The sequence below is a fragment of the Homo sapiens genome, chromosome 1, assembly GCF_000001405.40.
Source record: "Homo sapiens chromosome 1, GRCh38.p14 Primary Assembly".
In the NCBI taxonomy this organism is placed as follows: Eukaryota; Metazoa; Chordata; class Mammalia; order Primates; family Hominidae; genus Homo; species Homo sapiens.
In genome coordinates this window covers 38,081,483-38,099,087 of record NC_000001.11, presented here as the reverse complement: position 1 = coordinate 38,099,087, position 17,605 = coordinate 38,081,483, and the positions used below count along the sequence as shown (strand labels likewise).

Genomic DNA, 17,605 nt, shown 5'->3' with positions numbered 1-17,605 from the left:
GGGGTTTCACCGTGTTAGCCAGGATGGTCTCAATCTCCTGACCTCATGATCCGCTGGGGCAGGCAGAAATTTTAAGTGGAGGTCAACACTAATTAAGAGTGACACTTAAGGGAACTCTTGAAGGAGATGATTAAGTTATTCATTCATTCATTCAGTGAATGTTCTTGGACATCAGCTACACCATCATGTGCCAGGGACTGTTGTAATAGTGGGGATACAGCCATGAACAAAACAGGTAAAACTCCTACCCTCATGGGGTTTGCATTCTAGCTTTCAGGAGAGAAACCATAAACAAAGAAGTAACTACTAATACCCAGTGTGTCCAATGGTGATCAATGTTACGGAGAAGATGAAAGCAGAGGAGTAAGAACGGGGAGCCTCCCATATCCACCCTCACAAATCCTCCCACTAGGCAAACACACACCCACAGATCACCTCCCAAGCTCACTGTCACACACGCTCACGCCAGACTCTACACAGACTCACAATACAAACACAGGTGCATGGCATCCTCGCTGCTGTAAGTACACTCACCTGAACATACAAATACGCCCACATGCAGGCAAAAACACATGCACAAACACCTACAACACATCGACACACGAACATGCACACAAACATACCCAGCATAAACACGCAAATGCTCACCAAACACACACGCACACCCCAAGCCCGGCTCATTCAAGCCTTGGAGAAACACACCCTCAAGGTCACACAGAGAAACTAGACAGTCAGAACTGGCAGAACCCTGGGGAACCAGCAGAAGCTGGAGCCCGGAGAAAAGCGACAGCCTGCCCGAGGCCTACAGCATGGCCATGGCACTATGGACACCAGTCCGGTCCTGAGTCCAGTCCCAAGGCCAGCACGATGCAGCACACACTACCCCATCCATAGACTGTCAACCTCAGCACTCAACAAAGACACTTACGCTTGCAAAACACTCACAGAAACACACACACACGCTTGCACACAGGGACACACACAGAGGCACACATGTTCATGCAACAGCACAAACCTCATTCCTCTCCCATGTAACAAGGCGGGGTGAGGTCTAGAGAGTTTCTTGCAATTTCAGCATCCCTTGTCCACTTCACCAGCTTCCACCCACCCCACACATCACAGCCGTTCCAGCCACTGACAAATTTTCCTCCTGCCCTTACCTGTGGCCGTGAGCTGTTTGCACATGCAGATGCATCGTGCGTGATTGCTTACATGTGTGGTGTGGAAACGGGTGGACATGTTTGCGTGTAAGTATTCAAGTTTGCAGTGTGTGAACACCTTTATGTGTTTATGCAAGTGTGTGTGCACCTGGGTGTATGCGCATGTTCTCAGGAAGAAAGAGATTTACAATCTAAATCCTGTTTCTCCAGGGAATGAAAGAAAGCAAAGTTCAGGTTTAAATCACACCACCGTGGGCAGGAGAGGTTCCCCTGCCCTACTTGATTATCTGCCGGTGTGCAGCAGGACTGGCTGGCAGACAGGAGGCGGCAAGCAGCCCATCAGCAGGGAGCCATTTGTTGTCTCCAGGCCCCTGGGACCTGCTGTGGCTGCTCCAGGAGTGGGAGACGAGAGCACGGCGACAGCGACGAGCACACGCCCATCCCAGGTGCTGCGGGATGGGGGAGGAAGGGCGCTGGCATCCGGCTCTGGCCTCCTTGTGCTGTAAGGAAAGCAAAGGGAGAAGAGGCAGGAACCCCCAGGCCAGAGAGGAGCCCAGGCACTTCTTGGCCTGGAAGGAGGGAGAGGGTCCAGGCAAGGGGTGGCACGGGCCCCACGGTGGGCCCTGCCCTGCCAACCTCTTCACTGGCCAGAAAGGCATCCACAGGACTCCAGGCAGTTGGAGCCTTAAGCAGCTTGACCTTGCCTCTGACTTCTTTCTCCTGGAACACAGCCTCTTCCCCACACCACCCCCATCTCTCTCTCTCTCTCTCTCTCTGTTTCTGTGGGTTTGCTCTTTGTCTCTCCCTCTCCCTCTCTCTCTGTCTCTATGATTCTTTCACCTCTCTGTGTCTGATTATCTAGCCTTGTCTCTCTGTGTCCATTTCACTCTCTTCTTTTCAAGTTCCTCTATCAGCCCAGGCCTCAGCACTTCCCTCTGCCAACCCTGTCACCTGTGGCCTTGCTTCTAACACACCAGACACCTTCCGAGTATTGTATCCCATTGGTGCCTCTCACCATTCCTTTGGGACAGTCTAGGAGGGTTAAGATTAGAAATCCCATTTTACAGATGAGGAAACTGAGGGCCCAAAGCGTACCCAGGGCCACACAGCTGACACTTGATTAAAAATCTAGGCAGTGGCTCACACCTGTAATCCCAGCACTTTGGGAGGCCGAGGTGGACAGATCATTTGAGGCCAGGAGTTTGAGACCAGCCTGGCCAACATGGCGAAACCCCATCTCTACTAAAAATACAAAAATTAGCCAGGCATGATGGTGCACACCTGTAATCCCAGGTACTCAGGAGGCTGAGGCAGGAGAATCACTTGAACCCAGGAGGCAGAGGTTGTGGTGTGCCGAGATGGCATCACTGCACCCCAGCCTGGGCGACAGAGCAAGACTCCATCTCAAAAATAAATAAATAAATAAATAAATAAATAAATAAATAAATAAATAAATAAAAATAAAAATCCAGGTCTTTCCACTGCATGACCAGCTCCCCATAACTCCACATCACCTGGAAACATGAGCAGTTCTCCCCAGTACCCCATACCTCGAGAGATTTAAGAACCCAGTGGCACACATCAGTGCATCCCACGCCAGCCCAACCACTAAAACTGCCATCAGTTAAGGAAAGGTCCCGGAAAACAATAAGGGCTGAGATGCGTGGCATGGAGACTCTCTTTCTCTGTGTGTCCCAAAGATGCTCCGTGCCAGCCCCCCCACCCCCCAGGTCTGAAGTGCATGTACCTCCCACAGTCCCCAGGCCCACCTGGGATGAATAGACTTCCCACCTCTTGAGTAGGTGCCTCTTGAGGCCTCCATCTTCCCATCTGTACAATGGGGATGATGGGTCTTGCTCACACTGCTGAGTTGGGTTCCTGCTCCAACTCTTGCAGCAGCTTCTCTCCCTCTGCAGGGATCCCCCTGATCCTTAAAAGGCCTTAGACTTTGGCCACCAAGAGCCCTCAGACACCTCTGGAGGACTGCTATGGTTCTCTGGGCCTGAACTCACTTTGGCCACACGGGCAGCTGAGTGGCAACCAGGAAGCCACAGGCCCAGAGGCAGAGTCCCATCTGCAGCAACATCCAACCACCTCCAGAAGCCTCCACCACTGCTTCCAGCCCCCACCCGAGAGGCGTCAGCACCAACGACCCGCCAGGGCCTGCCCATTTTCCTTTCTTTTCATTGCCGGCTCTGCGCACAGTTATAGAACCAGGTCTCCACAGAGTAATTTACTGGCAGAATCTCTCCCAGAATCCAGCTTGAAACCAAGCTGTAAAAACAGCTTCAAGTGTAAATAATTCATGCAGACAATATGACTTTTTTATGTAAATTCGGTGCATTAACCCTCTATTATAATGATGGACGACAGATAGGGGCGACGTTGCCTTGGTAAGAGCTAATGGATGGCCGCCATAAATTCACTGCACATTTTATTGTGTTGCTGGAAATTGTGCCTTCAGGCAATGCTGTTTACTTTTATGTAAAACTCTAGGTTCCCTAAATATTACAAATATTTTACATCCAGCTCCTCAGCATTTGGGCTCTGCCCACAAATCAAGCTTTCTCCATGTGAGTTGTAATTAAAGGTTTGTTGTTTTCTTTTTTTCCTGGGACAATTATCTTCAACCATAAAGAGAAATATTTTTCCCCTTTAGATGTTCCGTCATTGACTTATTAACAAATCCTTTGAAGAAGGAGGCTGGAAGTGACTTGCGGTGGAACTTGGCAGGAGGTGGGTCCACAGGAGAAGAGGCTCTGTGGGTGCAAGAGCTTGGTGGCTGGCTTTCATGTCTGGCCGCCACTCCGTTTTATTTACACATATGATATTCTGGGCCTTCCTCCCCCCTCTTCCTTTCTATAATTCATGATCACTTTAGCAGGGTAATTCCTCTCACCACCTTTGCAAGAGATTGGTCCCTTGCAAACCCCCTCCTGGCCCAGCCTCCTCTGGGGATGCAGACGGCTGGGGCCGCAGGCCTGCGAGAGAAGGAAGTAGGGTCCTCACAGCTGGCTCCCATACACAAGCCGATTCATCCCTCCTTTGCCCCATGCCCACTCACATGGCCCGGACCTCCTTGGACGGAAACTCAGGGTTTCCTGCATTGATTCTCCTTCCATCCAAAATGTTGGGAAAATGCTCTTTCGGCTCACCCCTACCCAGACAGAGGTCCTGAGGATGCCACTGAGTCTTGCCAGAGGTCTGGGGAAAGGATGGCTGAGAATCTCAGCAGCTTATTAATGAAGGGAGGCAACAGCTGGAGCAGCAGCCCTCTTTAAAAATAATCCTCACACTTGTTTATTATTGTCATTAATATTAATGGCCATGCTATTAATATTCATATAGATGCATTAATATCATTCAGGAGCACCTGGGATCTCCAAGCACTCCTAATGGCATGGGACTCTGCCTCCAGGGCCCCCACCTCTCTGCCTGCCCCTCTCCACGGGACGACCGTCCCACACAGGTTCCAAACCATTCTCCCATCTCCTCTCCACCTTCTCTGATTGGCGCTTGCTTTTGGAAGCCCAGAGCCACGTGGGACTTGGAGTCATTTCTAAGTCCTAGGGGCTTTGCTGTGAGGATGGGACTGCAGGCCAGGGATCCTAGACATTTCCTGCCTCCCCAAGGGGCACAGGAAGGTTCCTGACAAAGGTGGCTTAAGAAAGAAAGATGGTTCATTTCCCCCTCAAGGGCTCAATTTCCTGTGGAGTCGAAAAAAAGACACATTGGTTAAAAACAAAGATGAGATATCATTTTTCACCGATTAGATTGGCAAAGATAATTATAATAATAATGGCAACAGCAGTGGCCAGCTCACTGCCTATGTGACAGCGCTATGCTTAACCCTCCACGCTCACTCTCTTACTGAACCTTCACAACAACCTCGTGGCATACCCTTTACGGGATGGAACACATGTAAAACCTTGGTGAGAAGCAGTTTACAATATGTGACAAAATGCAAAATCTGCTTACCCTCCGACCCAGCAATTTCATTTTGAGGAATTTCCCGTGTGTTAATAATTAAAAACACTGTTCCTTCTGAGTGAAACCCTCTTGCTGTCCCCCTCCCATGCTCACCAGTGCTTTCCTCTTCATCCTGACTCTGCCTTTTGCCCACTCATCTTTCAAGCTGAATGTCACCTCCTCAGAGAAGCCCTCCCTGACTCCCAAGCTCAGGTTAGCTTCTCTTGTTTTATTCTGTCATAGCCTGTACGTTTCCTTCGTACTATGTGTACTTCTCCTTCGTACTACAGATCAACTGCTAATTGGATAAGTATCTGTGTAACTGCTTAATACACACGCTCATTGCAAAAAACTGCTGTCTTTCCTGATGGCAGGGGCCAGACACCGTGTCTCCCCACTACATCATAAACTCCACCACAGCCAGGACTGACCATGTCTGTTTTATTCATGATTTCTATGCCTGGCATTGGGCTGGTACATTTCCTATGTACCTGGCATTGGGCTGGTACACAGAACACACTCAAAAAACATCTGTAGCATGAATGAATCAATGAAACATGCAAAGATATATGCACCTAGATATTCATTGCAGGGATCAAGACAATTGGAAAAACATATATCTCCATCAGCTGGGGACTGAGTAAGTAAAGTGAGGTATATCCAGATACTGGTATATCCATACACATAATACAGGCATTAAAACCATGAGGTGGATCTGTATGAATTGACATGAAGGATGTCCATGACATATTGCTGAGTGGGGAGGAAAAAAACAGGTGACAGAACAGCATGTGTCGTCTGATTTCACTCAGGGTGGAGTTGCATACGTGAAATCTATTTGTGTATATTTATGCAAGGAGAGAAGTCTGGAAGGACGTTCACCAAAATGTTATGTGGTTATCTCTGGCTGGTAAAATCTGAGGTGGTTTTTACATTTTTCTTTGAACTTTTCCATATTGTCTGAATTTTTTGCAATGAGCATATGTATCCTTTTTTGCAAAATGATAAAGCTGCTTTCAAAAGAAAAAAAAAGTATAGGTGCATTGGAAAAGGTTGGGGGTGCTTTGTGAGGGCCTCAAATCTGGGAAACCAGGTAAGTTGGAAAGAAGGTGGGGCCAAGGGGTCTCCCCTCCTAGCTGTGCTGGGCACCCTCCCAGGCTACAGGGGAGGGGCATCTAGGCCATACCCCTCCCCTACCCAGTCCTTCCTCCCGGCGCACCATGCCTGTCCAGAGTGGGGTTTCTAAATAGGGATTTCCGCATTTGATTTTCCTGACATGCTTTACCGCCTCAGAGCTGTTTTGCAAAATTCATAGCGGCTTTCACAAGCTCCAAGCTTCCTGGGACCAATTCCATTTTGAACAATAGCAGAGTGCCTGCTTGCGGGAGGGGTCAGCCCACTCCAGAGCAGCCTCCCAGCCTCTGTGAGCTGGGACTAAGGGGCTGGGTGTCGAGGCCACAGCATGAAAATACATGAGCTCATCCTTGTCCTCACTCTTCTCCTCCTCTTCCTGTCAAGGAGAAGGAAGAAGGAAGGCAGCTGCCCCCTATCCCAGTGTGCCTCCTGTGCCCTGAGGGGACCCTATATCCCAGGAAGCCACGCAAAGCCCTTCCCAATGTCCTTCCCTTTTCTAACTGTGTCTCCTTACCCAAGAACCATCTAAAGCCCTAAGAAGCTAAGTGACCAATCCAAGGTCACAGAGCCAGAGAACAGCAGGGTAAAGTGTAGAAGCCAGGGTTCCCACTGCCTGGTCTGTAGATGCTTCAATCTATGTTTTAAAACAGTTTTAAAAAGTGGCTCATGCCTGTAATCCCAACACTTTGGGAGGCTGAGGGAGGAGAATCACTTGTAGCCAGGAGCTCAAGACCAGCCTGAGCAACATAGTGAGACCCAGTCTCTACCAAAAAAAAAAAATACAAAAATTTGCTGGGGTCGGGGGTGGGGGTGGGGGGCGATGCATGCCTGTAGTCCCAGCTACTCGAGAGGCCAAGGTCAGAGGATCCCCTGAGCCCAGGAGTTCAAGACTGCTGTGAGCTATGATTGCACCACTGCATTCCAGCTTGGGCAACAGAGCAGGACCCTGTCACAAATAAATTTTTAAAAAAAAGAAAAAAAGTTTGGTGCCCTATCCCTTAAGATAAATCCAAGACGTACAGCAGCACGATCATTACCCCAACTAAGCCACAAAAGACTCCATCACCAACCTCCCTGCCAAGAGGCCAGAGTGCTTTCTAGAAAACACAAAACTAATCAGCCACTCCTCTGCTTAAAAGCCTTCAGTGGCTCCACGTTCTTTATTGGGGGAGTGGAGGACTTAAGCTCCTTGGCCTGGCACTCAGGATCTTTTGTGATATGGCCTCTGTCATATCCCACTGCACCCCTCCTCTCCTCACTGTGCAGCTTCTGCTCCAGCCACACTAAATGATGTCCTGTCGCACCTCCTCCACCTCCAGCCTTTGTGCTGCTCCCTCCCCTCTTCCCCTGGCTAATTCCTAATCATTCTTTAGGACCCAGCTTGTGCAGCACCTCACCAAGGAAGTCTTTTTTAACCCCTCTACCTCCTGGTGAGTGAGAAACCTCCTTCAGCTCCTACGGATCCTTGTGCTGTTATCCATTCAATCAATCATTTATTTAACAAATATTTATTGAGCACCTACTATGTGCTGGCCACATCACAGCATCTACCACATTGTAGTGTCTGTTTCTGTGCTTGCTTCTACACTGGACAGTAAGCTCCTTGAGGGCAGGGACACATTACCAGGACCCAGCATTAATCTACTTCACAATTGTGCAACTGTGTGGCAACGGCCCAGATCATCAGCTCCATTTTACAGATTAGAAAACCAGGGACCCCTTGACAATGGACATGTGCAAGAAGAGGAAAGGTTTTCTAAAGTACACACCTGACATGGCAGCCCCCACACTTGCACAATCCTTCCATGCCTTCCCACTGTCTTCCCTAAAAGGTTAACCTATTTACCCCACCCACAGGCCTCTGCATGACAGGTCTCTCCTCTCTCCCTTCTCCTACAGTGGTCCCAGCTTCCGGAGCCTTTGTAATTCTTTCTAAACTCCACTGTCTCTCTGTCTCGTTCATCTTGGTTTCTCAAATGCCTGATACATGGTATATGTATGAGTGAATGAAGAATGAATGAACAAATTACATTTCATAGGTATCTGAAACTCAAGATGTCTAAAACTCATCACCTTCCCTCCAAAGAAAACTCTTCCCTTCACCCTTCTGTGTTCACTGTCTCCGTGAACATCCTCATCAACCATCCAATCTCTGCAGCCACAAACTGGATGTCCCCCAACTCCTGCTCCTCCCTCTCCCTCCCCTCACTTTGTTGTCTAATCAATCTCTGGATACTAATCGTTTTACCTCGGGAATACCCTCTGATTCCATCCCCTTTCCTTTCCCCCTGCTGCCGTGGCTCCAATCTCTGTCTCCTGGCATATCCCTCTGAGTCCTTCCTCACTGTGAAAGCAGAGTGATATTTCTACCCTGACCATGACCCTGTCCTTCTTGAAGGCCTCCAGTGAGTCCCGCTTCCCTCAGGATATGCGCCCTGGGTGGTCTAGTCCAGCTACCCCGACTCCTGACAATGAGCTCCTTCCTGGTCTCCAGCCTCTCTGAACAGGCCAGGTGCTGTCACAGTGCCACATCCGTGCTCCTCAGACTCTACTTCTCATCTGGCTAACTCCTAGTCACCCTCCAGGATCCCACTCAACAGCCGCCGCCTCAGAAACTCTCCCCAACCCCACCTCACCCCTACTCCTACTCAGGGCCAACTGAGCTTCCGAGGAGCACCCTGCGCTGGCCTCTGCCATCAACCAGTAACCCGGGTCCTCACTGCCCACTGAAGGGCTCATCTCTCCCACTGCCCTGTGAGCCCATCAGCGGCAGGGTGCCCAGGGTCCAGAGAATACGCATGTCACTGTCTCCAGTGAGTTGTTCTTTCCACTGTGCTGCAACTTCATTTCACAGTCAGTCTAGCAAGCATTTCACACGCACATGCGCACACACACACACAAATTGAGACATGCATAGGAATGCACATACAGAGACACACACATAGTCATACTGACACACAGATGCACAGACACAAATAGCAGATCCCACAGACATACCTAGTGACCCACACAGAGGCATTCAAGCGTGGGCAGCCACTGATATACACATATGAACATGAACATCCATATCCATGCACATATGCACATGCATGCACAGCCCACATGGATGCACAGAAACACACAGACACACCCAGTCACAAATACATAGACCGGCAGACAAGCACAACAGGCACACAGAAATGTACATACACAGCCAGGTACAGTGACTCACGCCTGTAATCCCAACAATTTGGGAGGCCAAGGTGGGCGGATCATTTGAGGTCAGGAGTTCGAGACCAGACTGGCCAACATGGTGAAACCCCATCTCTACTAAAAATTAAAAAATTAGCCAGGCGTGTTGGCAGGTGCTTGTAATCCCAGCTACTGGGGAGACTGAGGCAAGAGAATCGCTTCAACCTGGAAGAAAAAAAAACAAAATGTACATACACACACATTCTGAGATGTACACATATAAAACCATAGACTCATATGCACTCATGCCCAGACCAACACAGGCACACACACAGACACAAGGATGCCCTCGTAGACAACACTCATGTCTATACAAGCAGCACGTGTGTTGTGTACAAGGGCATCCTTGTATCTGCTTGTAGAGACACAAGCAGCACGTGTGCATCCACACACAAGGACACATATGCATACCACAGACACTCACAAGAAGCAGCATTTACATTGGCCAACATACACAGATGTGTGCATGTAGACAGGCTCCCCGAGACAGGTTAGTGAATGATGCAGGTCAAACAGAGCTGTCTGCTAGGGGCGGGGGCCTGTCTGAGGTACCTCGGGGCGCTCACATTTTTGCAGCTCAGGAAGGCAGCTGACATACCAGCCCGGCTGTGATGGTATTTTGCATAAATGCTAATGTATTAATTACCATGTACAGTACACAGAGCTGCCATTTAAAAGAAAAAGTTAAGACTTTTTAATTCAAAAGCCCCATGAGGGGTGGGGGTGGGCGTGGGGTACCTGTCCTGCATGGAGGGTGGAGGCAGGCAGGGCAGCCACACCCATGCCCACTGTACCTGCACTTGGGTTGCCAAGCCTTCCCCAGGCCAGCCAGTCAGTCCTCTGCCTCAAGATTCTTGGTGCTTTCTGGGAACTCTGGCACAGCCTGGAGCTGCTGGCCCAGAAGAGGGCTGGGGAGAGTGTGGAAGGCAAGTAAGTCCTAAGCAGACAGAGTGGAGCATCCTCACAGCAGGGCTGGGGCAGGCGTCACAGCCAGAGGTCGCTAAGCATCACAGTCCCTCCCACCATTCAATCCATTCGCTGCACAGCAGCTGGAGTCATCCAGACAGTGGATCAGACTATGTCACGCCCTGCTTCAAACCTTTCAAAGGCTTCCTATTGCTCTCAGAACAAAGTTCACACTCCTTAGAAGGGCCTGCAAAGCCTGGCATGACCGCGTTCTCTCCTGCCTCACCTGACCTGGCTTCTCTCCCATCTCTCCATGCCTCTCCTGTCACACTCCTCCTTCCTCACTAGTCACCTGAGCTTGCCCGCTCTTCCCCTAAACTTCTCATCAGCCTAGCCTCAGCTCACCTGTCACCACCTCGGGAGACCTCCCCTGACTGCCCCTGACCGCCCTATCTGAAGGAGCCCTTCTCCCCCTCACCCTCTTTTACATCACCAGGGTTTGGGTTTTGGTTTTTTTGTCTTCATAGAACATTTTGCTGTTTCAACCCTCCTTGTTGATTTTTTTACTATCTGTTGCCCCCACTGTACGATGAGCTTTAGAAAGCCAGAACCTGAATGACCTTGTTTCCTCATCATATCGCAGCCCCTAGGATGGGGCCTGACACTGTGCAGGTGTTCAGTGGCATGTCTGTTAAAGGAGTGAATGAACTTGGAATGAACGAGGGATGCTGTTTCTGGCCAGCTCTGTCTCAGCGCCTAACTCTTGCAGCAGCACTCTCTCCACCTGCCTGGCAGGACCACCCTGGCTGTTCTGCCTCCCATCGGGGGCTCACATCCCAGATCCGGAGACTGAGGCCCATCATGGGATCATGTCCACCATCCCGTGACCTCTTAGAGGCTGGCGTCCAGGCCTCCCGAGCCTCCCACCAGCCCACCTCTCCTGCCACGTGGAAAGAAGCCTCAAATGATACAATTGAACAGCAACAACAAAACAGCTCCTCCACCCTCACCTTCATAGTCCACTTCCATATTAATTGTCGTATGCAGGCCCAGTGAGGCAGGCATCATTTCCCAAATTTCGTAAGAAATTAAGGTCCAGAGATATATGTGACTCCCCTAACGTCTCACAGCTCATCAGAGGAGTCAGGATTTAAATCTGTGTCTGAGGCCAGGTTCGGGGCTTCCTCCACTTACCAGTGACCTACTCTCCCCGAACCCTGAGGGATGCTCCAGGAAGCTAGGGCTCAGCAGTCATGGAAAGCCTCCCACATGCCTCCCAGGCCACCTCTTCCCCCAGGAAGCAGGAGAGTCGAGGTGGGCTTGCCGGGCAGGTGGAGAGAGCACCTGAGACACAGCTGGTTGGCTCACTTCCCAAACACAGGGTAGAGTCCTCAACCCCACCTTAAGGCACCCTCCCACACCCACTCACCTACCAGGTGCCACCATTCTAGGCCCTACGTCTCTCCCAAACTTGCCCTCTTCTCCTGGTGCCCACTGCCCCTGCCCTAATCCAGGCCGCATCGCTGTCATCTCTCACCAGGTCTCTTTTGACAGCCTGCAGTCTGGACCCCCATCTGCCCTCCACCCAGCAGCCAGAGTGATCTTCTCGAAGCTTGAATCCCATTGCCCTCCCCAGTGGCTTCCCCACTCCCCATCCAAGCTCCTCCTGAGATGGACCTCACGGTGGTTTGCAAATGTGCATCATTAAGAATGCATGTTTCCGTGGCCGGGGGGTGGTGGCTCATACCTGTAATCCCAGCACTTTGGGAGGCCAAAGTGGGCGAATCATTTGAGGTCAGGAGTTTGAGACCAGTCTGGCCAACGTGGTCTACCAAAAACACACAAAAAATTGGCTGGGTGTGGTAGTGCACGCCTGTAATCCCAGCTACTCGGGAGGCTGAGGCAGAATTGCTTGAACCTAGAAGGCGAAGGTTGCAGTGAGCCGACATCGCACCACTGCACTCCAGCTTGGGCAACAGAGCAAGACTCCATCTCAAAAAAAAAAAAAAAAAAAAAAAAGAATGCATATTTCCTAATTTCAGATCCTGGCTCTGCCACTTACTAGCTGTGTAACCTTGAGCAAGTCACCTAACTTCTCTGTGCCTCAACTGCCTGGTCTGTAAAATGGGAATAATAATAGTATCTCCCTATTATAGGGTTGTTGTGAGGACGAAATTAGTTAAAATATGTAAAGCACCAAGCCAGTGCCTAAAACCTGAAGGACACTACATAGTCTGTTGTTATTTACAGTTGTGTGTGTGTGTGTGCGTGCGCGATTATCTGGCTTGTGTCTTTCTCCTCCACGAAATTAAAAGCTCCAAGAGGATGGGGATTAGACTGGGATGGCTGCTTAGATGCTTCTTTGCCTGCCGCTTGAGTTTCTTTCTGCCTGCAGCCTTTGTTCTATTTTCCTCAGTTCTGGCTGGGTGCAGGCCCTCGAGGGAGGGAAAGGGCATGCCCTCAGCAGGAAATGCTGTCAGAGGCAGAGTTCCAGTTATGATGAAAATGACAGGCGGCAGCCAGAGAGGACTGCCCCCCGTGGAGGGCTGGGTAGAGGCTATACCCTCCAGAGCTCCAAGTTCCCGGGAACCCCCACAGGGCCAAAGCTCCCTTTGTCCAGAAGGTCAGGAGCAGCTGGCCAGCTGTGGGGGAGTTCCGCCACCCCGCCCCAGCCAGCAGCCCAGATGTGCGTGTTTGCACAGCCGAGTCCGGCCTCTGAAGGAGCCTTGTTGAGCATCATGAAAGGGGGCTTGTGATGGGACAGACGGCCTCCACACCCTGGCCTTCCTGCCTCCAAGACAGCAACCAGGAATGCAGCCTCCAGGAAGCCCTTCCTACCAGGCCAGCCAAGTGCCCTTCTCCTGAGAAGTCAGGGCCACTGGCATGAACAGGTTTAGTGTGCCAGTTGCAGACCAGATGCCTGGGATCTGGTCCTTCCTCAGCTTCCTCTTCTGTAAGATGCTGGGAGGCCCCTGCCTCTCCCTCCACTCAGGGAGACCCACGTGCAGTGTGGAAATAGGCAGACCTCACTACAGGTAAGAGCTTTGGAGTCAGAAAGACCAGGAAAGAACTTTCATCTTTGTGAACCTCAGTTTTTCCATCTGTAAATGAAGATGATAACTGCTGCCTCATGGGGTAGTCCTGGGGACAAAATGACATATGGGGAAGAAAGGACCAGGCATGTGCTGACACATGACAGGACAGGTGCTCAATAGCTCTGTGTGCCTTTTTTTTTTTTTTTTTTTTTTTGAGACAGATTCTTGCTCTGTCACCCACACTGGAGTGCAGTGGTGCAATCTTGGCACACTGCAACCTCCATCTCCCAAATACAAGCGATTCTCGTGCCTCAGCCTCTGGAGTAGCTGGGATTAAAGGCATGTGCCACCATGCCTGACTAATTTTTGTATTTTTTGTAGAGATGGGGTTTCACCATGTTGGCCAGGCTGGTTTCAAACTCCTGGCATCAAGCGATCCACCCACCTCAGCCTCCCAAAATGCTGGGATTACAGGCATGAGCCTCAGCGCCCAGCCCTCTGTGTGCTCTTTCTCCTTCCCTATTCACTAGGTGCCAAAATGGGAAAGGAGCCTGAGAGTACCTCCACAAAGGGCAAGGGGCCCTCCTCCCACTGTCCCAGAATAAGAGCTGCTGCCAGAGGCACTCACACCAGGCATGTGGCATGCAGCTGGGCAGCCTGTATGCCAGGCACACAAGTCTATGCCCACATGGGAGAGTCTCTGTCCCCAGCTTCCCCCTATCCAGAGTCCCTGGGCACAGCTTGTTTCCTGACACAGCTGGTCCCTGGGCACAGCAGGCCTCAGGTCCCTGGATAGAATCTATCCTTGGGCCTAGGCCAGCCCTCGGCAGGGCCAGTGCCTGGGCTCAGCTGTTTGCCAGGTACAGCTGTCCTTGAACATAGTTGATTGTTGGAAAATGCTAGTACCAGGACACAGTTGGTCCCTAGAAACAGTGTTTAAGCAAAGTCAGTCCTGTGTACAGTCTGTCTCTGGGCACATAGACACTCTCTATGGTCCCTGGTCACAGATACTCTCTGGGCATAATCTATCCTTGGGCACAGGTAGAGTCTGGGTCCAGTTGGCTCTCAGGTATAGTGACAGTGGGCAAAGTCAGTCCTAGGTGCAGATGAGCCCCAGACACAGTGAGCCCTCAAAGGGTCTCTGAGAACAGTTGTTCCTGGGCATAGTCATTCCATGGACACAGTTAGTGACTGGATGTAGCTGATTCCTGGGCATCATTGGTCCCCCAGGGCACAGGGCACAGTCAGCAGTCAGTCCCTGGGCACAGTTGTTTCTGGGCTCAGTTGGTCCCCAAGGCAGTCAGTCCCTGGGGAAGAGTCCATCCTTGACCTCAGGGCACAGTCCACAAAGACTACCCCAGGTTAATTAACACACATAGGCCCATCGCCAACTCTCTTGTGGCCCCAGTCCCTCCACAGGACCTGGAGAGCTGAGACCCACAGAAGGGATAGGAAGCATCCTCTGAAGTGCCAGGAGCCCTGGCATGGCCTGCTTCACGGCAGGTAGAGGGGGCAGGCATTCTGCTCCAGAACTGGAAGGGAGAGAACTAGGCCTGGCCCCCACCAGGTGTCCTCTGGAGCAGTCTGCCTTCCACAGTGGGGGGGTGGGGGGGGCTGTACCCCACACTAGAAAGGAGCCTCTCTCTCTGCACTACCCTCTGTCTATGCAGCACATATCCACAGGCATTTCAAAGGAGCATGGGCTGGCCAGCTACTGATCTCCCTGTGGCCGTGGGTAAGTGCATTAGACAGGTTTCTTCCAATTGGGTGGCCATCCCCAGGCCTCTAACCAACATCCGCATAACCTTAGGCATGGCACGAATGAGAAAGGAGGAGGTGGCCAGTCCCAGGGGATTTTCAGCCTCCAGGAGACAGCTGGTGCTGGATTTCTAACGCTTCCTGAGTCTGATCAGTCCCACCGCTCCCTGCAACCCAGTCCAGCTGGGAATGGAGCAGCAAGCCCCAGGGTAGGAGTCCAGCCTGCACAGCAGGGCGGGGGGCGTTCCTCAGGCCTGTTTGGTACTCATTACCTCCAGCCCTTGTTATCCTCTGCAGGGGGCATGGTTCCTGCACAATGATAATGTGATGTGGCATCCCATTAGCCAGCACCTGCCCTTTCTGCCCACCTTCCTCTCCCAGTCTCCATGCACATCAATGCTTCGTTACATTGTCAGTGTAGCAGTACAAGTCACATCTTTGTCGGGGTCTAGAAATGAAGTGAGCAACACCAACCATCACCCAACACAGGGGGCACCACCCACACATCAGCCCTAACATCCCAGACAAGCCACACTGCTCAGGGATAGCTCTAGGTCTGCTCACATGGACCCCCTATGTTTGCACCTTCAAAAAGAAAATGAAGGAAAAATCTACTTCTGGGGCTGGACAGGGTGCGGGGAAGGCAAGCAGCGAGGGGATTCCACAGGGACCTTTGGAGGGGAATTTGAGTAGGAGGGACTTTGCAGAGTGAGCCAAGCCAGGGTTCACAGGATGGGGCCTTCCAGCTGTTACACCCCCAAGGGTCCAAGGGCTGGATCCTGTCAGGTTAATAATTTACTTACACTCTCCCCCTCGCTAGTGTCTGAAGCAAAGCCATCCAGCCAGGATTCCAAGAGAAGAGTTTCCACAGGGAGCCCCAAAACTCTAAGACTGAAAGGCAAGTCAGCCTGAAGACACAAAAGGACTTAAACTAGGTCAATCCAGTTCAGGCTGGTCCCAACTGGCTGCAACTAGATCTAACTAACTGATTCAAGCTGGCACCAATCAAACCAGACCTGTTGGGGCCAGCTCACAATGTGTGGGGCTGGCCAAGATGGGATCAAGCTGAATCAAACTGGTTGTGGCCTGCTCATGTCATCTGGAGTCATTGGAAGGCCACCAATTTTGACCTCTATTTATTTAGTGTTAGCCTTTGCCTAGTATATCTTTATGTGTCCCTTTCTCTTATAACATCGTGAATCCTTTTGTTTTCAGTATGTATTGCATAAACAATGGTTTAATCCAAGCTCTACACCACATTCAAATGATATATAATACATATATCTTCCCTGCTATGAAGGTGATATACTGCAGTGGTCACATCCATGTCAACAGCCTGGGTTCCCGTCCCCACACTGCATTTCCCTAGCTTGAGGTCTTGCATAAGTTACCTAATCCTTCTTACTCTCAGTCTCATGTGTAAAAAATTCAGCTAATTGGCCAGGTGCGATGGCTCACACCTGTAATCCCAGCACTCTGGGATGCCTAGGTAGGTGGACCACTTGAGGTCAGGAGTTCAAGACCAGCCTGGCCAACATGGTGAAACCCTGTCTGAGGGTTTCACTGCAAGGAAAAATACAAAAAATTAGCCTGGTATGGTGGAGCATGCCTATAATCCCAGCTACTCTGGAGGCTGAGGCAGGAGAATTGCTCGAACCCAGATGGCGGAGGTTGCAGTGAGCCAAGATTGTGCCACTGCACTCCAGCCTGGGTGACTGAGTTTAACTTCGTCTCAGGAAAAAAAAAAAAAAAAAATCCAGCTAATTATAGAATCTGCCTCAGAGAGGACAGTTTTAAAAATTGAGGCATAGATATAAATACAGGTATAGATAAGAGCTGTGCCCTCACACATAATAACTGCTCAATATATGGAAGTGATTATTCTAGATTATTAATTATTATTAGTTCTTGGTTCTGAGCAGCCACAGCACAGCCTCTAGAGTCAGGTGATCAGAATTCAGATCCCTACACTGCCTCTTCCTTACTTTGTGAACTTGGGTAATTCACTTAACTTTTCTCAATGTTTCTATTTTTATTTTTATTATTTTGTAGAGATGGGATCTGACTATGTTTCCCAGGCTGGTCTTGAACTCCTGAGCTCCAGTGATCCTCCCACCTCAGCTTCCCAAAGTACTGGAATTATAGGCATGAGCCACCTCCCCTAGCCTACTTAACTTCTCTTAAGCCTCAATCTCCCCAACTGAAAATGAGGGTACTAACACTTACTGCAAGGATTGTTTTGAGCATTTAGATATCCTGCATAAAGCACCTAGCACCATGGAATATGACAAACACAGTACTCAATATATGTCAGCCATTATTATATTAATAACAAACACTCAATGCTAATTTTGTGCCAGGCAGTGTGCTAAGTATTCTGTGGATATTAATCAGTCCTCACAACAGTCCCAA

The 17,605-nt window shown here is 50.4% G+C and overlaps 1 long non-coding RNA gene and 1 other non-coding gene across 2 annotated transcripts in view, besides 1 other annotated feature; both read right to left on the bottom strand.

Annotated features, from left to right (window-relative positions):
* Positions 1-17,605, bottom strand: part of MIR3659HG (MIR3659 host gene) — a 72,397-nt gene that overhangs the window by 20,443 nt on the left and 34,349 nt on the right. The window lies entirely within an intron of this gene.
* Positions 3,154-4,566: an enhancer, noted in NCBI's record as "VISTA enhancer hs238". NCBI's record gives its function as "enhancer in: neural tube[13/20]" and the evidence as "EXISTENCE:transgenic organism evidence [ECO:0001131][PMID:17130149]".
* Positions 9,759-9,857, bottom strand: MIR3659 (microRNA 3659). The gene has a single exon (NR_037432.1). It is a non-coding gene; the product is annotated as a microRNA 3659 (primary transcript).